Source organism: Homo sapiens, chromosome 8, assembly GCF_000001405.40.
Source record: "Homo sapiens chromosome 8, GRCh38.p14 Primary Assembly".
NCBI lineage: Eukaryota > Metazoa > Chordata > Mammalia > Primates > Hominidae > Homo > Homo sapiens.
In genome coordinates this window covers 143201628-143228225 of record NC_000008.11, presented here as the reverse complement: position 1 = coordinate 143228225, position 26598 = coordinate 143201628, and the positions used below count along the sequence as shown (strand labels likewise).

At 59.4% G+C, this 26598-nt stretch overlaps 1 protein-coding gene and 1 long non-coding RNA gene across 3 annotated transcripts, besides 1 other annotated feature; both read right to left on the bottom strand.

The window, feature by feature from the left end:
* Positions 1-5524: 5524 nt before the first annotated feature.
* Positions 5525-8359, bottom strand: LOC124902036 (uncharacterized). The gene is made up of 2 exons (XR_007061138.1): positions 7141-8359; positions 5525-6154 (listed from the first exon to the last, which is right to left on the bottom strand). It is a non-coding gene; the product is annotated as an uncharacterized LOC124902036 (long non-coding RNA).
* GPIHBP1 (glycosylphosphatidylinositol anchored high density lipoprotein binding protein 1) lies at positions 11056-15008 on the bottom strand. Of its 2 annotated transcripts, NM_001301772.2 has the most exons (5): positions 14907-15008; positions 14276-14404; positions 13100-13213; positions 12888-12967; positions 11056-11215 (listed from the first exon to the last, which is right to left on the bottom strand). In NM_001301772.2, exons 1-5 carry the CDS (start codon positions 14956-14958, stop codon positions 11213-11215), a joined length of 378 nt encoding a protein of 125 aa, NP_001288701.1. In that variant the 5' UTR covers positions 14959-15008; the 3' UTR covers positions 11056-11212. The 2 variants fall into 2 exon arrangements, with proteins under 2 accessions (NP_001288701.1, NP_835466.2); NM_178172.6 differs by having other exon boundaries at positions 11056-12967.
* Positions 26304-26598: a silencer, noted in NCBI's record as "tiled region #5782; K562 Repressive DNase matched - State 20:ReprD". NCBI's record gives its function as "represses a minimal TATA promoter and a strong SV40 promoter by Sharpr-MPRA in K562 cells {active_cell/tissue: K562}" and the evidence as "EXISTENCE:reporter gene assay evidence [ECO:0000049][PMID:27701403]".

Genomic DNA, 26598 nt, shown 5'->3' with positions numbered 1-26598 from the left:
TGGTCAGGCCTGCAGAACAAGGCGATATTTGGATTTAAACGACAAAGGAGGCCGGGTGTGGTGGCTCACGCCTGTAATCCCAGCTACTTGGGAGGCTGAGGTGGGAGGATCGTTTGAGCACGGGAGTTGCTGATGAGCCTGGGAAACATAGTGAGACCCCATCTCTACCAAAAATAAATAAATTAGCCAGGCATGGTGGCACATGCCTGTGGGCCCAGCTACTCAGGAGGCTGAGGTGGGAGGATCGCTTGAGCCCAGGAGGGTGAGGCTGCAGTGAGCTATGATTGCACCACTGCACTCTAGCTGGGGTGACAGAGTGAGACCCTGTTTCATAAATAGATAAATAAATGGGAGTTTGCTGGGAAGGTGGCCTGGGAGGAAACAGCAAGTGCTGAGGAAACAGCAGCGCAGGGCAGGGGTGGGGCCCAGGGCAGGGGTGGGGCCCAGGTATTCTGGTGCCACTGGGCCAGGTCCCATGGGTCCAGCAGGGGATGGAGCCTGAGGTCAGACCTGGGTGCCGGTGGTCCTGCTGCTGGCCAGGTCGTGGTGACAGCTGAGTCTGGAGGAGGCAGAGGCACCATATGGAATTAACTAGAAGCTCAGGTCAGTGGCGCGTGGTGCTCGCCGGCACTGTCCGTGGTTCTGAAGGAGACCGAGTGGGTAGGCATGTCTTGCCTGGGGTGCAGAGGGTCCTGGAGTCTTGTGGGGCTCAGACACAAGGTCAGAGCCCAGGTGCCAGCAGGCAACCTCTGGCCTGGCTGTTAGGTGGCCTGGGGCTGACCCCACACTCATTCCTGTCATATCGCTCATCCTCACATCCTCCCAGGCATGACGGCACTTCTCTCATGGCACTGGCCTCTCTGTGCCAGCACAGTCACCTCCATAAATTAAAATCCTGTGGATGCAAAGTCACACACAGCCCCTTCCTCTCTGCAGATTCTCTTTCACTGCAGTCTCTGTCTCTTTCTTTTATTTATTTATTTTTAATTTTAATTTAATTTAATTTTATTTTTTTGAGAGGGTCTCAGTCTGTTGCCCAGGCTGGAGTGCAGTGGTGCAATCCTCACTCAGTGCAGCTTCAACCTCCTGGGCTCAATCGATCCTCCCACTTCAGCCTCCTGAGTAGCTGGAACTACAGGCCTGCGCCACTATGCTCGGCTAATTTTTTTTTTTATTTTGTAGAAATGGTGTCTCACTATGTTGCCCAGGCTGGTCTGGAACTCCCAGGCTCAAGTGGTCCTCCTGCCTTGGCCTCTCAAAGTGCTGGGATTACACGTGTGAGCCACCACGCCCGGCCACTGCAGTCTTAACAACAACTTCAGAACCTTCTTCAGAGAGCTGTGCCTGCACCGGCCTGCCCTTCAGGAGCTTCCCACCAACTGGGACACTGGGCAGGACCCCAGGCGGCAGCAACATAAAACTGTGAGCTGATGGGTGCAGGACAGAAGGAGCCTGGGGGTCAGAGAAGGATGGAGAGGGCAGGGCAGTCAGGATGCTCACTGGAGGACAGAGGAAGCAGGCAGAGCCCAGAATTTGGAAAACCCTGGGAGAGGCAGCCCTGTGCTCCGGAGCCGAGAAAGCTCCTTGAATCCTGGCTCCAACAGGTCTCCTCACAGCCTCCGCATTTTGCAGAATGGAGTGCAACAGCAACCTCACAAGTTGTGTGGGATTGCATGAGACCGTCACAAAGACCCAGCCTGGGCCTGGGACGGGGGAGCCAAGGTGAGGGGTGCTAAGTCCATACAACGATGGGGCAGGAGCGTGCTGCGGGGCGGGGCACTGGCCTGCAAGTTGGGGGCCCCCACGTCGTGTTGTGAGGAAAGTTGCATCACTTGTGCAACCTTTGTGAAAACAAAAAGCTGAGTCCTTTCCTCTGCCTGGGCCTCAGTTTCCTCATTCAGAACAGGAGGGGCTTTTGGGTCAGGAAGGTCTAAAGCATGGGGCTTGGGCTGGGGAGAGAAGTCCAGGGCAGAGGTGGGGCTGGAGTATGGAAAGGCCCTCGGGGCCCTTCATACATATTCCCAAAGCACCCAGGAGGGACTTCAGGGGGACCAACTGCATGTGGGGAGGCGCAGGATGCAGGGGGCCAGGCAGCTGGGCACCCCCTCCTCCAGGCAGGCCTCCCTGTACCACACGGCTGTCTCCGCTTGTGCCTGTGTTTACCAGCCTGGGCTTTGTGGGGTCTGGGATGTTCTCACTAAGATGCGTCTCCCCCAGCCCCAGCCCCACTTCCCACATAGTGCCTGGCACAGAGTTCTGGGAAGGTTTGTGGAATGAACCCGGGAATGACTCACGGGCACCGCAGTAGGGGAAGCTGGGGGCAAGGGGGGCCTCCCTCAGGGCCATGCTGTCTCCTACCACCACCTCCTTGCTCCTGCGGCTGACATCCCAGATCCCGGACCTGGGCGCCCACTCACCTTGGTCCAGCATGGAGCACCCTGCCCAGCACCCCAAGGCCTGCTGGGCTGCGGGGGGCTCCCAGTCTCTCCTGGAAGCCCCACCCCTTCCCAGTTGCTTCTGCGCTGCCTTCCCGCCCTTCTTTCCCTGACTTCAGTGCTCAGTGGAGCGTCACCTCCCTGGAGGCCTCCTGCAAGCCCCAGACAGGAGAGCAGGGGCCTAGTTGCTGTGGGGATTCAGCCACATACATCTTTTCTTTTATTGACATTGACTCTTCATTACAGAATTAGCATGCCTGCCGAGAAGATCCAAATGAAAGAGCAGTACCTCAAGTGAGAAGCAGCGCCCTCCCCACTGCTGTCTCTGAAAGCAATTCCCAGGAGTTTGCTCCCGCTTCCAGACAGTTTTCTCTGCCTATGCAAAAGCACATGTTGAAAACAACAATTTGTTAAAAAAAAAAAAAAAAAAAAAAAGGACTGAGCCTGGTCGCTCATGCCTGTAATCCCAGCACTTTGGGAGGTGAGACAGGAGGATCACCTGAGGTCAGGAGTTCGAGACCAGCCTGGCCAACAGGGTAAAACCCCAACTCTACCAAAAAACAAAAAAACAAAAATTAGCCCGGCGTGTTGGTGCACGCCTGTAGTCCCAGCTACTCGGGAGGCTGAGGCAGGAGACTTGCTTGAACCCAGAAGGCAGAGGTTGCAGTGACCCGAGGTCACGCCACTGCACTCAGCCTGCGTAACAGAGAGAGACTCCGTCTCAAAAAAAAAAAAAGAAAAAGAAAAAAAAGAAAAAAAAAACACTAACTTGTAACCGGCAGGGTTGCTGCATGAGTTTCTTTCCCTCTGTGAGGCTGTTCTTGAGTGTAAGTGAGCCAGTGTGGCCAGGAGGGTGACAAGAAGCAGTGTGCACCTTGCTGTCACCTGGACTTAGAGATTCTGGAGGGGACAGTCCAGGGCTGGTGGGAAATGACACTGAGGCAGCAAGAGGGGGTCCCAAGATCTGTTAAAATCTCTGCAGGACATCACCGTACCCTGTACAGCTGGGGAGGCTGAGGCCGGTGGCGAGGAACCATCTCCCTTCTCAGGGGGCTTACCACAACGGCAGTGCTTCCTCACGTCACTCCACCGACCTCAAGGATATCAAAGCCAAGCTCCTTCTACAGAGCAGAAATAAAGACTGTTACTAGTGATAAGTGCCAGCGCCACTGAGGTTTGAAAGGCCCCTAGCTGGTTTCCGTCACAGACCATCCAAGCTGCTGAAATGCACGCTGCTCCAGATGGCCATGACCTGATCCCAGCAAAAACGCAGGAGACAAAGCTGTGCGCGGAGTTTGTCCAGAATGAAACAGTCATTCGATAAACTAGATAAAAGACTCCAAAACATGGACAAGGAAAAAAACCTGGCATAAATCAGTTGGTTGGTGGTGTGTAGGTCATTGTCATTACTTTCTAAGTTTTCTACAAGAATTACCTGGAGGCTTCATCTACAAGATAATGTAATGGGCAGAAGGGTCTGGCCACCCGTGGCTTGTAGAAGGAAGCCAAAATAGTAACGAGGTGTGATGGAGAATGAGACTTTATTATCCGTCGTAGCAGAAAGCAATTCCACTCTTCCATTTGTGGAGGGAACGCAGGGGGATTTTCTTTTTCTGTTTTTTGAGACAGGCTTTTGCTTTTGTGGCCCAGGCTGGAGTGCAGTGATTCATCTCGGCTCACTGCAACCTCCGCCTCCCAGGTTCAAGCGATTCTCCTGCCTCAGCCTCCCAGGTAGTTGGGATTACAGGCGTTCGCCACCATGCCCAGCTAATTTTTGCATTTTTAGTAGAGATGAGGTTTCACCATGTTGGTCAGGCTGATCTTGAACGCCTGACCTCAGATGATCCACCTGCCTCGGCCTCCCAAAGTGCTGGGATTATAGGCGTGAGCCACCGCACCCTGCCACGCAGGGGATTTTAAAGAGAGGGTTTGCAGAAAAGGCTGGGGGGTGAGGAGGTGCCAGGTGCATGACCCACTCCCGTGGCTTGTCTTGAATTGTTGTTCCTTCTGGTGCAGGGGCCAGCGTGGCTTCTACCAGGTTATAAACTAATTGTTGTCAATCTTGTTGTCAGTCTCTAGACGGGAGTGGGTTCCTGCCTTGAAGTAACCTTTTGCTGGAGAGAGAATTCCAGAGGTGTCTGGTCTGTGTCAGGATCTGACCCTTGAAGGTTTTAAGGAAACAGATGACCAGATTGGTGAGCATAGTGCGCGCCTAACAACCTTCCACGTAAATAAGTGTGCATGAGGCCTGGAGCACAGAACAGGAAAAGAGAGCGGAGGTCACAGCACATTCCGAGGCTGTAAAGTTTATCTCCAGAGCTATGGCTTGAAACTGGGGAGAAAGGAGAAGAGGGGAAATAAAAAGAAGTTTTAAAACGCGGTTTGAGGTGAAGCTGCTAAGCGGCTTGGCTGCAAGAACCTTGGCTTCCACACCCTCCTGCACCCCTCTTAGCTTGACTCTAGCTGATTTCAACTCTTCAGGCAGAGCTTGACCCCTCCAGCCAATGGTCAATCAGGGAAGCTTTCCACCTGTGGCCTGGAAGCCCCTGCTTCCAAATGTCCCATCTTTCTGGGCCAAACCAGGATATACATTACGTGTGCTGATTTGTGGCCTTGCCTGTAACTTCTGTCTCCCTAAAAGGTATAAAATCAAGCTGTACCCCAATCACCTTGAGCATATGCTCTCAGGATGTCCTAAGGCTGTGTCAAGGGTCACAATCCTTAACCTTAGCAAAATAAACCTCTAAATTGATTGAGACCCATCTCAGGCACTTTTGGCTTACAAGGGGCAGCTCCAGCTCAGGGGTAGGGGATTTCTGGCCACAGTCTAGTTACTGTCACAAATATGGGGCAAGTTCCAGGGAAAACTGACTCCAAGGATCCTGAAGGAGCGAGGATGCCAGCACCAGCCCTGGGGTGCGCCCCCAGAGCCTCAAGGAAAGGAAGGGCCTGACCACTGGGGCTCCTGGGTCCCAGGGTTCCCAGGTTGTAGGTTGGTTTGCCAGTTACCTTAGTTACCAGAAAGGGGTCCCAATCTAGACCCTAAGAGAGGGTTCTTGGATCTTGTGCAAGAAATAATTCAGGTTGAATCCACAGAAAGCAAGTTTATTGAGAAAGTAAAGGAATAAAACAATGGCTACTCTGTAGACAGAGCAGGGAGTTCCTGAAAGCAAGAGGAGGAAGGGGCCCACCTCAGGTGTAGTGGGAGTTTCTATGTGAGACAAGAAAGCCAAAAAATCACGGGGGAGGTTGCTCCGCTGCCGGGGCTCCTGACAAAGGATTGTTTATCTTTGTGTAACTACTGTCTAGCAAGAATCTATGTTACTATGTTCAAAGCGAAACTCATTCTTAAGCTAAGAATGCTTTTGTTCCTAAGAGATCGGACATCAGGACATTATTTCCTGGGTCTTTTTGGTAAACATTATTCACTTGTTCCCTTAACTGTAATATCTGGTGACTGAACGCCCAAGGTCCTGGAACCCAGCTGGTCTCAGCCTCATTTCACTCAGCCCCTATTCAGGATGGAGTCGCTCTGTTGGAAGGGCCGTGACACCTTCATGCCGCCAGGAACACCAGGGGCTTGCTGAGTAGATGGTGACGTGTGCACAGAGCACGGCGGAGAGCTGCAGGGCCTTCTCACCCGGGACCTGGAAGGCGTGGCTGCCACTCGGAGCTGCCAAAGTGCTCAGGCGATGGTCCCTGGGGAACCCACATGGACGCTGCACAGAGAACAGGACAGAGTCCCCCTGGGGACACAGGCCAGGGGCAGGGGACAGAGGCTGAAGGGGGGCACAGAGGCACGGGGTTGGGGGGAAGAGGTCCAGGGTGGGGGTCAGTGGCTGGGGACGGTGGAAACAGAGGCCCAGGAGAGGGGCCTGGAGTAGGGTGCAGAGCCCAGGGTTGGGGAGAGGCCGGGGGCAGGGGACAGAGGCTGGGTGCGGAGGTCGGCAGCTCCTCGGGTCGCCCTCGGCTGGGGAGGACCGGCTGTTGGTGGCCCTTGGTGGCTCCAGGGCAGGGCCGGTGGAGGGGGCGGGACCCTAGCACCAGGCCTAACCCCTGCCCCAGGTGGCTCCGGGTCTGGTCTGGTTGTGACCCGCGCTCCCCAGACGGCAGGCGGCGCGGTGACCGGGCTGGAGGCCGTGTTCTGGAGGCATCTCTGCATCCCCTCCTCCTACCCAGTCTCCTGCGGGCTGACCAGGTTCCCTTGGAAGCTACCGGAAGCTCCTGGGCCAGCTTCCCCTTTACAGAAGAGGACGAGGCCTGGAGGGGCAGGAGCAGGTCTCCAGGCCCGGGACCACCTGGACAGGACCCCTCCGCCCACGCAGGCCTGGCCGCACCCCCGGCCCTCCCCAGGGGCATCGGGGGAGTCTAACGCACTGGCCGCCTCCCCCGGTGCCCCGTACCCATCCGAGCTGTGGCCTGCGGTGAGTGGTCTGATGGCGGAGACCCCCGGGCCCTTTTGCCAGAAGCAGACTCTGGTTGATGGTGCAATTCTAGGGCCACCACGGATGAACATGAAGGGCAGTGCTCCCTGACTCCCTGCGGCTTAAGCAGGGTCTCCCCGACAGCATGGCCAGGCCCTGCTCACTCATCCCTGGCTCGTTCAGGGGTTCCCCGCAGTCACCTGCCTCCACAGTTCTCTTTACGGGAGCAAAATGAAACTTCTATTTTAAAGTTGCAATGACAGGATTTTCGGTTCCTGTACCTTGCTACTGAAAGCACTGGGGCCTGATCCAGACCTCGGGCTGACCGGCTCAGGCGCCGAGAGGCTTCCCCTCCCACTCGGAGTGCTGGATGCCCCTGCTGGCCCCGGAGCTCCGGGAAGGGCTGAGGGCCAGGGAGGAAGGACGCCGCCACGCCTTTGGTAGGATGACATCCAGCCGAGGTTTTGCCCCCTTCCCTTCATCTTGTTTCTCAGATGCTGGGTCTCTTCACGGGGAGGTGGAGTTTGTGTTTCCTGAAGCAGTGGTCCGGAGCCAAGGCCCGGGGAGTTAGAAGCTGCGAGAGGTTTCGGGGAGGGGCGTGGCAGGGTTCCCTTTCCCTGGGTTCCTGGGCTCCCTAGCCTGAGGCAGGGGGCAGGAGCCTGAGGCGCTGCAGGGTCAAGGCAGAGCGGTGGCTGCGCAAGCCAGGGCTCCAGGGGAGGCTGACCTGTGGCCTTCAGAGCCCAGAGGGGAGAGAAGGGGAAGGGGGAGCTGGCTTTTGCCCAGGGCGTGGTGTGACTTGCAGTGCATTCCAGAGCCTGCTGGGGACACCACTGAGTCACCGGATCCTGGGCTCAGAGGATCACCAGGGGCAGAGGCAGGGCTGAGGGAGAGTTGGCCTCGGAGGCGAGCTTCTCCAGCCGCCTCCTCCCCTGCTCCTCCTCTGCGCAGACGTCATTATTAAGTCCAATGAATTAAGAGACAAAAAGCCGAACGTGTTAGGAATGAACTCCACTCCTGGATGCCCGTTTCCAAGGCAACGTTGGCTCCATCCTCCAGAGAGTGGGTGCCGGAGCAGTGCCTGCTGGCCCCAGTCCCTAAGGAGGAGGAAAGGGATGGATCTGGTGGGTTCTGGGGAGGATCTCCAGGGTGCTAGGCAGAGTCCTGCTCTCACGGTCTCTCCTGCACTCCCTCGGCTCTGCCACACCCAGGTCTCCCCCACCCACGTATCTGAGTCCACCTGTCCCCGAATGGCTGGCGGGCAGAGGTTGGGGGCCCAGTCCCGGGGGTGTCAGACGCCCCTTGTGTCCTCGTGTGTCCTTATGTGGGAGTGGCCAGAGCTCATGGTGGAGGGAGGCGTGGTTAAGGTTTGTCCGATGAGTTGAGCCAGGAGGGAGGTGTGGTTAGGGTCTGTCCCATGAGTTGAGTCAGGAGGGAGGCGTGGTTAGGGTTTGTCCCATGAGTTGAGTCAGGAGGGAGGCGTGGTTAGGGTTTGTCCGATGAGTTGAGTCAGGAGGGAGGTGTGGTTAGGGTCTGTCCCATGAGTTGAGTCAGGAGGGAGGCGTGGTTAAGGTTTGTCCGATGAGTTGAGTCAGGAGGGAGGCGTGGTTAGGGTCTGTCCCATGAGTTGAGTCAGGAGGGAGGCGTGGTTAGGGTTTGTCCCATGAGTGAGTCAGGCACTGCACCCTGGTCTTGGTCAGTTTTGATGGCGGGGAGACCTGGGTGTGGGCAGACCCAAGGGGTGCGGGAGAGACAGAGTGAGAACAAGCCTCTGCCCGGCTTCTCGTGATGAGCACAGGCGAAGGGGTCTGAATTCTTCTGGGGCAGGAAGAGACCACTGTGGGACTGACTTCTGGACTGTGGCCACCAGGGGCCCGGCAAGGCCTCCTTCCTGGGACTGTGGCCCCCTTGAGCCAGGGAGCTGGGCTTTATCCTCCCCAGGACCGTGGCTTCCAGAGCACAGCTAGTCTCGGAGCAGGTGTCCAGGGAAGGGCTGATGTGGGCTCAGGAAAGGTCTTTGACATACCCAGGTTCAAATCCTCAAGCCTGTGAATGTGCCTTCTATGGCAAAAGGGACTTTGCAGCCATGAGGAAGCGGAGGATCTGAGATGGGAGATGGCTCCGGATTCTCCAGGCGAGTCCTAACTGTGGTCACAGGATCCCTGTAAGAAGGAGGCCGAGGGAGAGCTGACTCGGGAAGCTGGTGAGGGAGCAGTGGTTGGAGCGGCTTCGAAGGTGGAGGAAGGGCCATGAGCCAAGGAGAGCAGGTGGCCTCTTGAAGCTGAGAGGGCGGGGGTGGATTCTCTCCCAAGAAAACGCAGCCCAGCCAGAGCCCTGACGTGAACTTCTGACCTCCAGAGCCACAGCATGAACTTGTGTTAAGTCACTAGGTTCGTGGTGATTTGTTATGGCAGCCCTGGGAAACTGGTACAGAGGGACATGGGTTCTTGGGCCAGGGCCCTGCCCCCTCCCTGCCCAGACCCCGCCCCCTCCCTGCCCAGCCCCCCAGCCCCCAGTCTCCCTGCTGCTGGGCTGGATGAGAAAGGGAGGTCCCTCTATGTTCACTCTTGAGACTGACAGCATGCGTTGGGCTCTGAGACGGGGCCCAGGGTGTCTTGGCTGTGACCATCCGCCCGTTGGCACCGCTGACTTGCCTGGCTCAGACTCGACTTGGCCTGGGAATCTGGCTGGCTCTTGGCTGGCATCCAGCTCCTCCCCAGCTGAGGCGTCCTGGAGCCTGGGACACCTCTGGGAAGCTGGGTGCGGTTGGCAGGAAGCCCGGGGACTGGATCCTGGATCTGTACCGCCCAGCTGTGTGACCTTGAGCTCGAGCCTCATGTCGCAGCTGCAGGCTTTCGTACCTCGGGGGGCTGTGACAGGGCCCACCGTAGACAGCTAAGCACGATACCCTCTCTTCCTGCTCAGAGCCTGAGTGGGTGCCAGGAGAAAGCCCTCTGTGAGCTGCTGGGAGTGGTGTTGGGGATGGTGTGAGGTGGTGTTGGGGTGGTGGTGGGGGTGGTGTGGGGGTGGTGTGGGGGTGGTGTTGGGGGTGGTGTTGGGGGTGGTGTTGGGGGTGGTGTTGGGGTGGTGTGGGGGTGGTGTTGGGGGTGGTGTTGGGGTGGTGTGGGGGTGGTGTTGGGGGTGGTGTGGGGGTGGTGTTGGGCCTTGTGGTGGGTGGTGGTGGGTGGTGTGGGGGCGGTGTTGGGTGGTGTGGGGGTGGTGTGGGGTGGTGTTGGGTGGTGTTGGGGGTGGTGTTGGGGGTGGTGTGGGGGGTGGAGTTGTGGGTGGTGTTGGGGCTTGTGGTGGGTGGTGGTGGGTGGTGTGGGGGTGGTGTTGGGTGGTGTTGGGGGTGGTGTTGAGGGGGTGTGGGGGTGGTGTGGGGATGGGTACTGGCTGATGGGCTTCTCTGTTCTTGTATTGGCCCCTCTCTGGCTTCTATAGCTGCGGAGACACTCACAGCTCCCGTGCCTTTGGGCAGGTCAGGTGAGAGCCCCAGGAGAGTCTGACTGGGCTTTCTGCTTCCTCAGGGGCAAGGATGAGGGACCCAGCTGCTGGCAGGGCCCAGGACCCTGGGAGAAGAGACAGGACCCCAAGGCTGGGGCAGGCCCTACAGCCAGTGGCTTCAGACTGCACGCCAGGAGGTGGTGTGGGCCGGGAGGGGTGGGGGTCTGTCCACTCAGAGCTGTGCAGGGCTTTAAGGCATCAGTTTGAAGGAAGCATTTGGCGAACTCAGGTTACGTCGCCCAGTGTTTCTAAGTCGGGTGTGGTTAACGAGGTTTCTTTGGATCATGAGGGTCTGGGGCTGGCTCAGGTGGGGCATGTGCTATGTTCACACATACAGATGGCAAGTGAAGAGTGGGGTCATGAGAAGTGTCCTGATGGCCACAGCTCCCATTTGTCGAGCACTTGCTCTCTGCCAGGCACGGGGCTGTAAGCCCTGACACGTGGTGCTCCAGCACTCTGGAGGATCCTCACTGTAGCCCACAAGGAGGGCTCTCCTAGGACTCCCGCTGGACGGAGCCAAGTGAGAGGTGAAGGGGCTTCCAGGGTCATGGAGCTGGGGAGGGCTGGGCCTTAGATTCGAAGCAGGCAGCCTGACCCCTGCACTGTGCTCCAGTGGGGCTGTAGGCGTGCGTGTTCGTGTGCACACATGTGCATGTGTCAGTGTGAAAATGCAAGTAACAGACACCCCAAATAACTAGCTTCAACACAGCAGAAATTTATTTCCCACCCAGGTAAGGGGACCCTGAGGTAGGCAGTGACTTCTGTCGGCAGCGAGCTAGGCCCCTCTCACCAGGCTGCCCTACCGTGCTCAGTGCTGCCTCATGGTGCAAAGTGGTTGCTGAGCTCCAGTCATCACTTCAGCCAGCAGAAGGAGGAAGGAGAAGGAGAAAGACGTGACCCCACCATCTAGGGCATTTGCCTTCCGACCCCCCAGCTAGGCATTGTGTGTTTTATTAATAAGGAAAAGAAGAGAACAGTTAGCGGAGGCCTCCCGCTGTCCACCAGGATGAACTTGGCAGGCCGGACAGGACTCTGGGCTTCCCAGTTAATGGAGTGTTGAACTGGTGGGGATCTAGGGGTTCTTTAAGTCTCACTCTGTACTTCTCAGAAGGGGAAACTGATACCCAAGTCAGTGGCTGAGCTGTGGCCCAGGCTCGGCCTCTGCCTGCTGTCCCAGAGCTCTGTCCTGGCACCAGCTACTGGTGAAGGCAGAGCTTGCAGCAGTCACAGCCCTGCCAGAGGACACCCTGGGGACCCCCCTGTAATGGGCCACCCACCTTCCCGGCTCTGCTACCCAGTCCTGCTTCCTCTGCAGGAAGCTGCAGGCCCATTCTGCCCCCTCCCTGGCACAGGGTAGCCTGTCTGACACCCCCAGATCCATCCATGACACCCACTAGGCTGAGGGCTTGGGGACTGGAGTCTAGAGGGCAGGCCAGGATGAGGCTGGAAAAATTCCATCTCATCTACTCCTCTCCTTTCATCAACTCCACCCCTCCACTGCTCTAGCCTGCTTTAGCCTCTGCTAGAGCAGAGACAGGTATTCCCAGCCTCAGGCGCTGTCCTAAGCCCAGCAGGTACTGACCCTAGATGGTCACCTCAAGGTGACAGGCACCCACCCAGCATCTGGCCCTTCCCCATCCAAGGCTGCAAGTTCACTTTCCAAGCCAGGGTCTCCCATAGCGGTGCTCACGCCATAGCCAGACAGGCCCCGCTGGCCCCATCCTCTTCATACTTGGTGCCTGTCCCCCCAGCCCCCCCCCGCCCCGCCCCTCCGCATGTGGCCTCACCCCAACCCACCTCCCTGTGCCCTCTCATCCTCAGCGCGCCTCTCCCACTGTCCCGCCTCCCCCAGGCCCGTCTTTCCTGGGGGCGACGACAGCCTCCCTCCAAATCCCCTTCCCTCCAGACAGCGGAGAGGCCGACCTGGGGAAGGGCAGGGTGGGCCCGTGTGACCGCTGCAGATGGAGGAATTCCCATGGCAGAAGTTAAGGGTGAGGACTGGGTGTGGGGGCCCCCAGGTGTGTGGTGGGTATCATCTCTGCCTGGCTGTGCTGATGGGGATCCCCAGCCCCCATGAGGGCTGCAGGTCCTGGGGCGTGGCAGCCGAGGTCTGGACCCAGCGCCCACGTGCGGCAGTCTTGCTGCTCACAGGTGGTGGAGAAAGGACACCAAGGACACAGCCGGGAACTGAGGAAGCAACCGGGCCGGGGGGCCTGCGCTGGCTGGATCGCCCAAGACACTCCAAATCCATTCTCCAAAGCTGGTGCAGGGGCAGGAGGGGAAGGTACCAGACAGAGTGCTGGCAGGGCCGGGGGTGAGCCGGGTGGGGGTGGGGAGGGGCCGTGGGTCAGGGTCTCCTGGCCCCCATTGCTCCAAGGCCGGCAAGGAGGTTGAGCAGGAGGGCTGCGCCCACAGTTTCGGAGCTGCCCCGGGGGCCGCCTGCCCCCTTGCCTGTTGGGTCCTGGACTCGGGAGCTTTGCCAGGGTGGGACATTGCACAGGCTGGACTGGCAGCAGGTCATGGTCACCTGGGTCCCCTCCACCGTCTTGGTGATGGGCTGGCAGCTGTCTGTGCACCACGTGGAGTGGGTGGTCAGGAGGCCTGACTCTGGGAAGGGGAGTGGGGAACAAGTGCTGAGGATGGGCGGGGTCTCTGAGGTGGCTCTGCAGGGCTCTGTTCCGGGCCCCTGGCTTTCCCGCCGCCTGGGGGTGCATGTGCTGCGGCCCCACGCCCACTTACCGGTGTTCCCGTGGGCAATGAGGGTTGTGCAGGTCTGGCCATGTGAGCAGTTCTGCGTCAGGTTGCAGCGCTCGTCCCTGGGCAGGGACTTGCAGGTGTAGCACCGCAGCAGCACTGGGGACAAGGCGGGCTCAGGCCGAGGCCGGGCCCCCCAGGGTCTCCTCCCACGTCCCTGTCCACCTCCCCGTTCTCAGCTGTGCTCCCAAAGCCTAGCCTGGTGAGCCTCCAGCACCCACTGCTCAGATGGGCGGGCGACCCCTGACTTGGTCCTGTAAGCTGTGCTGTGTGCGTGAGCCTGTGTGTTTAGGGGGCAAGGGATTGCGGGTCAGGCAGGGCGAACTTCCCATCATCACTCACGTCCTGCGACAATGCTGCCCAGGCTCCTGCCGTGGTCACAGAAACCTGGAGGTGGGTCTGACTCAGTCCTGCCTCCAGGAGCACCAGGCCTGGCAGAGGAGGGCCTCACAGGGGACACCTCGTGGGTGTGTGGGGCAGGGCTCGTGCTGAGGGCAGGCTTGGGGCTCCTGGGAGGGGGGTGGGCTGTGTGTGGTGGGGCATGCTGGGGGCCCTGGCTAGGGAGGGGCTGTGTGTGGTGGGGCACGCTGTGGTCCCTGGCTAGGGAGGGGCCGGCCCTCGGGTTGGATGCGGCGATTTGCTCTGCTTTTCTCGGGATGGGAGAGAGCAGAGGGTGGCCCACGTGTAGGGGTGTGTCAGGTGGGCAGTGAGGGTGGGCTCTTCTTAGCCCTACTCTGCTCTGCTCTAAGCGGTTCCCTGGCTCCCCAGCCCGCAGCAGCCAATCCAGCCCTCCCCTGTACAGGACCGGCCCACCCTGCTGCTCTCTCTGCCCCACAAAACTGAACCCTACCCTGGGGCCTCTGTGCTTGTGTCTCCACCCTAGGCCCCCACTGAGCCCTTCTCTGCCTGGTGAACTCCTATTTAACCTCTACATCCTGGCACCACTGACCCTCCCAGCTGGTGGCTTCTTCCCCTGTTCCCTACTCTGGAAGGCAACTGAGTGTCATGGTGAGCAGCAGTGAGGGGTGTACTGAGTGTCCCCCACTCTGCTGGAGGCAAGCTCACAGCAGGACTGTGGCCTGCTGGCTTCCATCACACAGCCCCGCCCAGAATGCTCCAGGCAGATCAGGCAGCAGGGCTCTGGGGTTGGGGCGGCCATACCTCTGCTCCTGCCACCAGGGAGCCTGTTGGTCTCCTCCTCTTCCACCTCATCCTCATCTTCCTCGTCGTAGTCATCTGGCCCGTGGTCCTCGTCCTCTTCCTCTTCCTCCTGCTGTGTCTGCCCTCTCCCTGGCCGTGCAGGGATGCTTGTAAGCCTCAGCTACCCGGGTATGGAGGACACCTGCTCTGGGCAAGCATCGTGCCCCCAACTCCTTGGCCCTCCCCAGCCATCCTCGGGCCCCAGGGTGGCTGGGGAGGGCCCCTACCCTGAACACCCTACTCACCCTACTCACTGTCCTGCAGCCTACTCACCCTACTCACTGTCCTACTACCCTACTCACCCTACTCACTGTCCTGCAGCCGAGTGTGCCCTGGCATTGTAGTTACAACAGCAGCTGCTGTGGGCTGGCCCTTTATGGTAGCCCCTCCCCGCACCCCACATAAACAGGGGCGCAGATATTTGGGGACTCTCGGGGACCCAGGCCAGCTTCCATCCATGCTGCTCTGGGCTGGGGACTCCAGCCTCATCCCCTCCTTCTTCCTAAGCCCCTGCTGGGGGTCCCTGGAGGTCCCTGTGCTCCAGGACTGCTGTTGCTGCCCCCTCACCGCAGGGTTACCCTTTGCCCCGCACCTGGCCGCCCGAACAGCAAGAGGGCAAGCAGGACAGCCCCGAGCGCCTTCATCTCGCCGGACGCTGCTGTGTCCCTGACTCTGAGTCCTCCCGCAGGGCTCTGGAGCTGCGGTAAGTGGGATGAAGGGCATTGCCGTGGGCTTCCTAGTGGCCCCCACCAGCTCCAGCCTCAAACAATGGGCCTCACACTGGTCCCCAGCTCCAGGCGCCAGGCCAGGGACTGTTGTTTCCCTCCAGGACATCTGGGGCCAGAGGGGAAGGAGAAGTCATTGTGGTTGGCCTTGGAACGTCCTGTGCACCCGTGCCACGGCAGGTGGAAGGTGGTGCTGGCCCTCGCCTGGCTTGCCGCTCAGTGCCTCAGCCCTGCAGTGCAGGGCAGGGAGCCTCGCCCCGGAATGGGCCATGCCTGACACCCCTCAACCCCATGTCTGGGCTCCATAGTCACAGGACCTTGGGGTCACAGACCCTCTATTTGCTGGTCACTGGCCAAGCATCGTCATCCTAGAGTCAGCATCACACCCAGGCCCCTTTAAGAGCATTTAAGTAAAAACACAGTCAATGCCCTCAAGCTAAGGCTGCGTGCTCACCTCCTCCTCACCCACACTCAGCAATGCACTGCTAGGCCCAAGGCCTCCCGGCTGCCCCTCACTATCACCTCGGGTCTTTGCCCCTGCTGCTCCATCTGCAGTGCTGTTCCTGCTGGTGTCCGGTGGAGAGCTTTCTGGAGCTCTTGGGGGCCCGCCCCCTCGGTCTCTTGCTGGGAAAGCCATCAGCACCCACCTGCCTTCTGGCCTTGTGTGAGAGACGGGCTGCTCTGGGAGAGGCTTGGAAAGCCCAGGTCGCTCCCTGAGGCCACCCCCTCCTCTCAAGACCCCACCCAAGCCCTTGGGGGGTGCTGATGCAGAGTGCAGAGTCGAGGCTCTGAGCTGCCCCTCTCCCAAGGGCAGCAGAGGGGTGGGGCAGCGGCAGGGGCTGGACGTCCGGAGCCAGGGTCAAGCCTGAGCGTCTCTGTGTGCCTTGGTGCTTGGGCCAGGCACTTCACCTACTGAGGCCTCAGTTTCCCCGACTGTCAATGGGTGGGGTGGGGCATTTTCTGGCCGGCCACCTGTAACAGAGGTTGAGTTGGTTCTGGAGTGAGCTACCTGGGTTTAAGACCCGGTTCCTCCTTCCCCCGGCTGTGGGTTCTGGACTAGCCCCTTGGGTTCCCCAGGCCTCAGCTCCCTCATAGGGTGAGGTGACCATCAAGGGTCAGTACCTGCTGGGCTTAGGACAGCGCCTGAGGCTGGGAATACCTGTCTCTAATGTCCCAGCCACCGAGTCAACCATCCTTCCTTAATTCACCTGAACCTGTCATTCTTTCCACTCTACCGGCACCCACCCAGCATCTAGCCCTTCCCCAGCCAAGGCTGCAAGGTCACTTGCCAAGCCAGGGTCTCCCATAGTGGTGCCCACGCCACAGCCGGACACGCCCCGCCAGCCCCAAACTCTTCATACCTGATGCCTGTCCCCCCCAGCCCCGTCCCGCCCCGCCCCGCCCCGCCCTTCCCTGCCCCTCCGCGCGTGGCCCCACCCCCACCCGCCTCCCTGCGCCCTCTCGCCCTCGGCCCGCCTCCCCCACGCCCCGCCTCCCCCACTGCCCCGCCTCCCCCACTGCCCCGCCTCCCCCACTGCCCCGCCTCCCCCCACGCCCCGCCTCCCCCACTGCCCCGCCTCCCCCACTGCCCCGCCTCCCCCCACGCCCCGCCTCCCCCACTGCCCCGCCTCTCTCACGCCCCGCCTCCCCCCACGCCCCGCTTCCCTGGTGCCCCGCCTCCCCCACACCTGTCTACCCCATGCCCCGCCTCCCCCACTGCCCCTACTTCCCGTCGCCCCGCCTCCCCATCGCCCCGCCCCCATTCGCCCCTTCTCCCCAGCGTCCCACCTCCCTGTCGACCCGCCTCTCCTGTGCCCCGCCTCCCCCGTGCACCGCCTCCCGTCATCTTCACCCCTCCTCCCCCACGCCCCGCCTCCCTGTCGCCCCTCTTCCCTGGTGCCCCGCTTTCCTGCTGCCCTACCTCCCCCGCGCCCCGCCCCGGCTACCGCTACAGGCCCTTGAATCTAGTGCTGCAGGAGCTGCTCCTAGGAAGGGCGCTACTGGGATTCTCAAGGGGCCTCCACCTGCCGCCTCCCCTCCACAGGGGCCCAGGCCCTTGCACGTTGCCTCCCTCTGGGCCCAGCTCCTCTTCAGCCCAGGTGCAAACTGCCCAGCCCAGGCAAGTGCTTATTGCGAGAATCACCTAGGGACAATCAGAGCACATTTGATTCGCAGATTGAATTAAATTTAGTGCTCGCCACTGAGAGGCTGTTCCCTCTGTCCCGCCCCGGAAAGGCTAGTGGGTCTGGTCCAGCCCCTACAGAAGGTGCCACCTGGGATGGTGCGCAGGTGTGAAAGGGGACCCGCAGTGGCAGACACCTGGTTCCCCAGCACTGCCTACAGCCGGCAGGTAGGCGTGGTGGGCTCTGTATGTGGAGCCCACCCCCTCATCCCACCCAGGCACCACGCAGCCTCCCTCAAGCCCCCAGGGCAAGGTCATGACCTCTCAGACACTCCAGGGTGAAGATATGATGCCTAAGACCTTCAGGGCAGGGCTGTGGTCCCCCAGGGCCAGGGCTAAGGTCTGGTGGTCCTGATGGCAGCTGCATGGGTCATTTTCGAGCCTGCACCTGCGCCCCTGGGCTCAACCGCCTTTCCAGGCCCAGGCTTCCTCCCTGAGCCATGCGCACACCCCAGGGCACCGTTGAAGGGCAGCCCGGCCACCCCCGCTCCCTGCCCACAGACCTCTGTGCCTTGGGGCCTGGACTTGCCTGCTCTGCTGGCTCGTGGGGCTGGCCCTTCTGACACAGCGGTTCTCTGGGCCTCCTCTCACGGTGGGGCCTGCATGACTCACGTGGCTCTTTTTGGCAGCGGCAGCCTTGGGCTCAGAGCTTGGTGCTGGTTGTGGACAGGGGATGCCTGGCCATCCACACTCCATCCTGCCTAGGTGACATGTGGGGGCGGGGCTCGGCAGGCAGGGTCCATGCTGGCATCATGCCCAGGTGGGGCCATGGGCTCTGCTGTCCTGGGGGGCTGTGTGGCCCTGTCCTGGGCCTGCGCGTCCTACTCTGTACGCCCTCCCCCGTGTTGACACCAGCTCGAGTCAGATCCAGACCTGTGCACTGCCATCTCTGGGAGGCAGCCTGCCGTGAGATTGGGTTTGGAATGAGGGAGGCGTTGGGAGGAGGGCACCTTGGGGCTGGGCCTGAGGGGTGAGCAGAGTTTTTCTATAAGGAAGGGTGGGCAAGTGTTTCTGACTGAGGGGCAAGTGTAGGGTGTCCATACCGGGAGAGTAGGGCCTTTTGGGGCAGATGCAGACTGCAGATGTGCTGGCCCTTGCAACACTTTCCCTGCTCTGAGCTCCTTCCTGCCCTCTCTGCAGCCAACCTTCTCTTGTCTCACTGAACCTGAGTCTGGCAGAGGGAGGGGCTTGTTTTTAGAGCAGAGTCCAGACTCTCCTCCCCTGGGGTTACTCTCCGCTTATTTTTATTTATTTATTTCTTTTGTTGAGACAGAGTCTCACTCTGTCGCCCAGGCTGGAGTGCAATGGCAGGATCTTGGCTCACTGTAATGTTCGCCTCCGGGGTTCCAGCGATTCTCCTGCTTCAGCTTCCTGAGTAGCTGGGATTACAGGCTCGCACCACCACGCCCAGCTAATTTTTGTATTTTTAGTAGAGACAGGGTTTCACCATGTTGGCCAGGCTGGTCTTGAACTCCTGACCTCAGGTGATCCACCCGCCTCGGCCTCCCAAAGTGCTGGGATTACAGGAGTGAGTCGCTGTGCCCGGCTCTCTCTGATTCTGATGACCCCACAGTGCCAGGCTGAGCAGGCTGCCCACCATGTGCACTGAGGTACAAGCCCTTTTTCTTTCCTGGGATCCAGCACTCAGAGGTAGCTGTGGGTGGGCGGGCCGGCCAGGGGGAGCAGCTCCCACGGGTCCTGCAGCTCCCAGGCACCCCTAGAACCCACGAGGGAAACACATCCTGGTTCCAGAAGCTCGTTCATTAACTCGTTCACGTGTGGTTCACTCAGGTACCCTCCCTGGCCTCCCAGCTCCCCTCCATGCTGCTCTGCACCTGGAACCCTCTATGCTCCATTTCCTAGTCCTTAGACACCCTCAGCCCCACCACCATAACCCTGGAGAGTCTCCTTTCCCTTGCTCTTCCAAGGGGGTCCCTCTTGTCCCCCACTTGTGAGGGTGACTGATCTCTGTCTAGCTCCGCTTAGCAGAGCTTCAGATGGTCCTTCAAGCTCCCACCCCCGCTGCCTCCTGCCACTATCCATCTTCGATTTCTAGAGGCAGGGCCCAGGCACCATCCTCTCCAGAGACCTTTCTCCACAGCGGCACTCCTGTACCCACCCCTAGCTCGGTGCCCTCGGAGGGATTCAAGGCTTGGCTTTAACATCCCCCTATGGCCGTACTGGGTCCCCCTCTTGGAAAAATGCAAGAGCAAGGAATACATTGTTCCTATCATTTATTTTATCCGTTTAGAAATCAATCTCCTTCACAGTGAGATTGTTAAAATGTTAAAAACAATGTAGCAATTTCACAATATTGAAAGAGACTAAAAATAACGATGCAGGGATACTTTGCAGCTGTATGACAGTGAAGAAGCTCTTTACATCCTGATCAGAAAAACAGGAAGCGGAGGAAGCCGAGGACTGAGTGTCCCAGCACGTTGCTTTCTGCAGGAACAGGAGAAGGCAGGATCTGCGCCTGCTGCTGTGTGTTCATATGGAGACTGCCCGCTGGGCTCGCCTTCTGTCAAGGTCCACGTTTGGCCACTGATCTGCAGGGCCATGTCTTCTGCTCAAGCCGACCCCTGGGCCCTGCCACCCAGCAGAGGCCTGCGAATGAGAGGCCTGGGGCCCTGCAGTCCCTGGAAGGCAGGAACTTGATGGCTGAGCTCAGGGTGGGATCTGTGTGTGGGTGGGTGAGCGGCAGGCACTCACCCACAGCGGCGGGGAGAGGGTGTGTGGAGGGAGAGCAGCTACCAGAGAAGCCAGAGAGGTGCAGCCCAGGGCAGGCAGGAGCCCCCCCAGGCTATGGCGTGGGCCCCCAGCCTTGGGGGTGGCACAGGGCCTCCTGGCAGCCTCTGCACATCAGGACCACGTCACTGGGATGTCCCACTCAGACTCCTGGCAGGCATGGAGGCAGAACTTCCAGTGTTTTCCACAGTGGCCCCACTGGAGGGGCAGGGGAGAGGATAGGAGGTTAGGTGGGGGAAGCAAGGAGGAGGGGAGGGAGGAGGCCACGGGAGGTGGTCTTGGGTGGGGCCTCCCTCTGCCCGCAGGTGGTGATGGGCAGCTGACCACCTGCACCAAGTGTCGAGGTGGCTCTAGTGACTATGGGGACGCAGGGCCTCCCGGGCCACCGCAATGGCTTTCTCACAGTTGGTCCTTTGGATCCAACTGGATTTGGGGTGTGAGGTGGGTGAGGAGAGGCCCCAAGCTCGAGGGCCAGGATGCAGTGAGCCCCAGGGTGGGATACCCTGATGATATCCAGCCACCTGCTGGAAATGGTACCCAACCTCAGAGCCTCAGCCTTCCAGGGAGACACAGTGGGTCCCGGGCAGCCACACTCCAGGGAGACACAGTTGGTCCCAGGCAGCCACACTCCAGGGAGACACAGTTGGTCCTGGGCAGCCGCACTCCAGAGCCAGCCTGCGATCCCCGGCAGCCGCACTCCAGAGCCAGCCTGGGGGCCCAGGACAGGAGTGTGCACATCAGCCCCTTGTACCCCCAGCCTGGGTGAGATGCTGCCCCTGTGCCACAGGACACCCCTTCTGACTGCCCACAGCCCTCATCTGATGCCTGTTCTATTCTGGCTCACAACGACCCGGAGGAAACAGGGGTCTGGGAGTCAAAGCCAGGGCTGCTCCACTTGAGGATCAAAAGCTCCTGTATACTGCACTGTCCTGCGCACTTTAGCATGGGCCCCCGGAGGGGGAAGTAAGGAGCAGAGGTGAGGGCCCAGCAGGGGTGGCAGGGCCACCTGAGCTCCTGTTTGTGAGTGGGCTTGGGTGGAGGGTGGATGGAGAGCCCTAGCCCCCAGCCTCACCCAGCCCTCCAGGAATGGCAGTGGCCACCAGCAGTCTCCCGTTCGTCCCCACTGCGTGGGGCTCAGCCTGAGCCTCCTCTCCCCACCTGCCCAGACCCGCTCCTCTTCTCCAGCCTGACTTATGAAGCTCTGTGTTTAGCCCCAGGACGCAGCCCTCATGTCCCAGCCAGAGTCTCTGGCTGCAGAAGCCCAGGCTGTAAGCCCCTCTTGAGCTCACACAGCAGTGTGGGGTGGGACCTCACAGGGAGAGGTGCCGGGAGGCAAATCACACAGAGCGGGATGGGGCTTCCGTACCCCAGTGTCCCGGACACACTTCCTGTCAAATCACAGAGCGGGATGGGGCTTCTGCACCCCAGTGTCCCGAACACACTTCCTGTCAAATCACAGAGCGGGATGGGGCTTCCGCACCCCTGTGTCCTGGACACACTTCCTGACAAATCACAGAGAAGGATGGGGCTTCCCCACCCCTGTGTCCTGGACACACTTCCTGTCAAATCACAGAGCCGGATGGGGCTTCCGCACCCCTGTGTCCTGGACACACTTCCTGTCAAATCACAGAGCGGGGTGGGGCTTCCACACCCCAGTGTCCTGGACACACTTCCTGTCAAATCAAAGAGAAGGATGCGGCTTCCGCACCCCTGTGTACTGGACACACTTCCTGTCAAATCACACAGCGGGATGGGGCTTCCACACCCCAGTGTCCTGGACACACTTACTGTCAAATCACAGAGCGGGATGGGGCTTCCGCACCCCTGTGTCCTGGACACACTTCCTGTCAAATCACAGAGCGGGATGGGGCTTCCGCATCCCTGTGTCCTGGACACACTTCCTGTCAAATCACAGAGAAGGATGGGGCTTCTGCACCCCTGTGTCCTGGACACACTTCCTGTCAAATCACAGAGAAGGATGGGGCTTCCGCACCCCAGTGTCCTGGACACACTTCCTGTCAAATCACAGAGAAGGATGGGGCTTCCGCACGCCTGTGTCCCGGACACACTTCCTGTCAAATCACAGAGAAGGATGGGGCTTCCACGCTCCAGTGTCCCGGACACACTTCCTGTCAAATCAGAGAGCGGGATGGGGCTTCCGCACCCCTGTGTCCCGGACACACTTCCTGTCAAATCACAGAGCGGGATGGGGCTTCCGCACCCCAGTGTCCAGGACACACTTCCTGTCAAATCACAGAGCGGGATGGGGCTGCCGCACCCCTGTGTCCCAGACACACTTCCTGTCAAATCACAGAGCGGGATGGGGCTTCCGCACCCCAGTGTCCCGGACACACTTCCTGTCAAATCACAGAGAAGGATGGGGCTTCCGCACCCCTGTGTCCCGGACACACTTCCTGTCAAATCACAGAGAAGGATGGGGCTTCCGCACCCCATTGTCCCGGACACACTTCCTGTCAAATCACAGAGAAGGATGGGGCTTCCCCACCCCAGTGTCCCGGACACACTTCCTGTCAAATCACAGAGAAGGATGGGGCTTCCGCACCCCTGTGTCCCGGACACACTTCCTGTCAAATCACAGAGAAGGATGGGGCTTCCGCACCCCAGTGTCCCGGACACACTTCCTGTCAAATCACAGAGAAGGATGGGGCTTCCGCACCCCAGTGTCCCGGACACACTTCCTGTCAAATCACAGAGAAGGATGGGGCTTCCCCACCCCAGTGTCCTGGACACACTTCCTGTCAAATCACAGAGAAGGATGGGGCTTCCGCACCCCTGTGTCCTGGACACACTTCCTGTCAAATCACAGAGAAGGATGGGGCTTCCGCACCCCAGTGTCCCGGACACACTTCCTGTCAAATCACAGAGCGGGATGGGGCTTCCGCACCCCTGTGTCCCGGACACACTTCCTGTCAAATCACAGAGCGGGATGGGGCTTCCGCACCCCTGTGTACTGGACACACTTCCTGTCAAATCACAGAGAAGGATGGGGCTTCCGCACCCCAGTGTCCTGGACACACTTCCTGTCAAATCACAGAGAAGGATGGGGCTTCCGCACCCCAGTGTCCCGGACACACTTCCTGTCAAATCACAGAGAGGGATGGGGCTTCCGCACCCCTGTGTCCTGGACACACTTCCTGTCAAATCACAGAGAAGGATGGGGCTTCCGCACCCCAGTGTCCCGGACACACTTCCTGTGAAATCACAGAGAAGGATGGGGCTTCCGCACCCCTGTGTCCTGGACACACTTCCTGTCAAATCACAGAGAAGGATGGGGCTTCCGCACCCCAGTGTCCCGGACACACTTCCTGTCAAATCACAGAGCGGGATGGGGCTTCCGCACCCCTGTGTCCTGGACACACTTACTGTCAAATCACAGAGCGGGGTGGGGCTTCTGCACCCCAGTGTCCCGGACACACTTCCTGTCAAATCACAGAGCAGGATGGGGCTTCCACACCCCAGTGTCCTGGACACACTTCCTGTCAAATCACAGAGCAGGATGGGGCTTCTGCACCCCTGTGTTCTGGACACACTTCCTGTCATCTCTGCCCCTGTGTCGGAGGCTTCACCTTCTCTGCTGTATCAGACAGGGACCCCAACTGTGGGGAACTGCAATGGACTCTGGCTGGTTGGAGCAGAAGAGGAGTTTGTTGAAAGGTTCCTTGGAGTTCATAGGTTGAGAGGGAGGGCGTAGGTGCAGAGGACCCTAGGGCCACTCCTGTCTCTCCCCCTCCCCGGGGAAGTGGACTGTGGTGGCCACCTTTACTGCAAGACTCCATGGATCAGAAAACACCTGTTCGTGGTGGGCTGTCCAGTGGCACGACCCCTTGGAGCCCAGTGCCAGGCACATGCTCACCATCTGGGCTGCTAACCAGTCAGAAGCTGTTTCGTGGAAAGAGTCGTGATGTGGGTCAAACAGTCCCCTGAAAAGACATATCCAAGCCCCAGTGGCCACGTATTAGTCTGTTCTCATGGTGCTAATAAAGACCTACCCGAGACTGGGTAATTTGTAAAGAAAAAGAGGTTTAATGGCTCTTTCACAGCTCCACATGGCCGGGGAGGCCTCATAATCATGGTGGAAGATGAAAGAGGCTAGTCTTACATGGTGGCAGGCAAGAGAGTGTGTGCAGGGGAACTGCCCTTTGTAAAACCATCAGTTCTCCTGAGACTTATTCACTAACACGAGAACAGCATGTGAAAACCTGCCCCCATGATTCAGTTACCTCCCACCGGGTCCCTCCCACGACACATGGGGATTATAGGAGCTGCCATTCAAGGTGAGATTTGGGTGGGGACACAGCCAAACCGTATCACCTGAATGCATGAATGTGCCTTTGTTTGGGCAAATGGTATTTGCAGATGTAATTAAGAATCTTGGGAAGACATCATCTGGAGTTAGGGTAACAGATGTCCTTACAAAAGAAAGCAGGGAGATGTGAAGTGTGGAGACAGAGGAGAGACCGGAGTGATGTGGCCACAAGCCCAGGAAGGTGGGGAGCCCTGGGAGCCCCTGGCCAGGAGGGACTTTCCCCTTGAGTCTCCGGAGGAAACGTGGCCCTGCCAGCTCCTTGACTGCTGCGAAGAGCTTCTTGCGAGGGGCCATACCTTGCTCAGACCCCAGGGTCTGTGTGGCTCTCCTCCTCCCAGGGCTGCCACAGGCTCTGTCCAGGACTTGTTCTGGCACAGCTGGCGGATACCATTGGGTCCACCGGGCCAGGGCAGGGCAGCACCATTCCTGCTGCAGCCCTTGAACCACTGCTGACTCTGTGGGGACAGCAGAGCCAAATGCAGGTGTCTTTCCTGCATAAGGAGCTGAGCTCCATCTTGGTGGGTGCACTGGTCCTTCAGTTTCATGGGCGAAACCCACCCTGGCCCCGACCACTGGGCCCTGGGAATGCACTGAGTGGTGGGTCCCACATTTCTCCAGCTCCGCTTTTGGAGGTGAGTTTGCACTAGGACATCTGAAGTTTCAGCAGCTTTCGGCTCTCCCAGGGCTCAGGGCTGTTGGTGCCGGGGCCACGTGAGACCATTGAGGCCCCTCAGTCTAAACCGAGGCACAGAGCTGGCCAGAGAAGCCCTGGAGCAAGACAGGAAGGGAGTGCTGCATCCCTGGCAGACGAGGGAACCCATTTGTGTGTTTTCTGCTTATTGGCAGGGAGAAAAACATATTTTCCCGATCACTAGCCCTGTGTTCCAAGAGCCAGCGTAGACCTGTGGGTAAATTGCCACCTGAGCATCTGATGGTTGCTGTTATTCCTCAGGTCCCGCTTACCATTCACCAGCCAGGTGGTGAGTTGGGAGCGAGGGAATGGGCCCTGTGCCTCTCACGTCCCTGGTCGTGGTGCTGATGGTTGGACCGCCGAGTGTGGCCTCACTAGTGGTTACGTCCTGCAGATCCTTCCTCCAAGGTGGGAGAGCCTTTAAGATGAGCCTGCATGCTGTGGGTGTAGCCACTGCACCTCGGGATTGGGAAAGTCACCAAGGGGGAGGTTCTATTCCCACTGAGCTTGAGGGCAGAACTGGGCCACAACTCAGTCACCTCACCCTCATATGCCCCCACCACACTGCAAAATCCCTGGGCAGCCAGGGTGCCCAGAAAAAGCAGTGATGGCCTGGAGCCCGTGCCAGACTCCCCCGAGAGATCAGGGCACTTTCCTTTCTCAGTTGCTGGCTCCTCTGACAAATGGCAGCAGCCCCGTGCAGGAGGCCGGGAGGACAGCAGGGTCTGTGAACTGGCCCCGGCCCAAGGACTGCTGCAGAGACGTTGGCTGGGCCTCCGTCCCCAGCCAGGGGGCCTCTGTGCACTGCACCTAGCTTAAGTCCTCTTTCCTTATCAGCTGCGCCTCTCGGCTCCACGTGGCCACTGTGAATTCCAGGTTTTTGTCACCAAGCTAAGCAAATTGTTCGAGCTCCTGCCAGCTGCTAGAGCTATCCCTTCAAATATGAAATCTCCACTGAGGGCGTCCAGACCAACACATTGAGCTCAATCCAAAACGATGCCCTCCCTAGCTCCACTCATATTCACCAGATGTTTGCTGATGTAAAATAGCAAACTCTTGTGAATCTTTTGCCAGGTAGCCTCCTCCTTTCAGGTTTGAATATGCTTTGTGCCCTGGGGCATGACGTTCTGACTGCAGTTAGAAGTAAGCTGGAGGCCTGGGTAGCGGGGAGCTGGCAGGGTCTTGGGTGCGACCAGCTTCTTCCTGACCTGTCTCGGAGGTGGAGTGGGCGCAGGGTCCTCAGACAGGGCGGGTGCAGCCTCGTCAGATGCGGATGCCTTGGCCGAAGGCAGGCTGGGGTTCAGGAGACTCCCGGGTCCTCCACTCCTCTCCCCCAGCTCTAGGCCGACGCTCTGACTTTCACACTGAGCTCCTGCCGGGGTGGAGCTCGGCTGATCTGCACAGAGCATCCTGGGGGATCACACTCGGCGTTGGCTCTGGCTCTGTCAGCCATATCGGCAAGAGCAGAAGGTCCTTTAGCTACAGGACAGGAAGTCCCAGTCTCAGGCTGCATCTTGAGCCAGATTTAGGACTTCAGGTTCCTCATTCTCTTTCTTTAAGTTCCCAGTGCTGTTGGGAACAGCCGCCTCATCCACAGATTTTGGGTCTCAC

What these genes read in the sequence shown, in the direction of transcription:
- GPIHBP1 (NM_178172.6), bottom strand. Translation starts at nt 14,958, where the DNA reads ATGAAGGCGCTCGGGGCTGTCCTGCTTGCCCTCTTGCTGTTCGGGCGG. An exon ending in CCCTGGTGGCAGGAGCAGAG is followed by an intron (nt 13,214 to 14,275) that starts GTATGGCCGCCC and finishes CCTTGTCCCCAG; the next exon opens with TGCTGCTGCGGTGCTACACC. An exon ending in CATTGCCCACGGGAACACCG is followed by an intron (nt 12,968 to 13,099) that starts GTAAGTGGGCGT and finishes TCCCCTTCCCAG; the next exon opens with AGTCAGGCCTCCTGACCACC.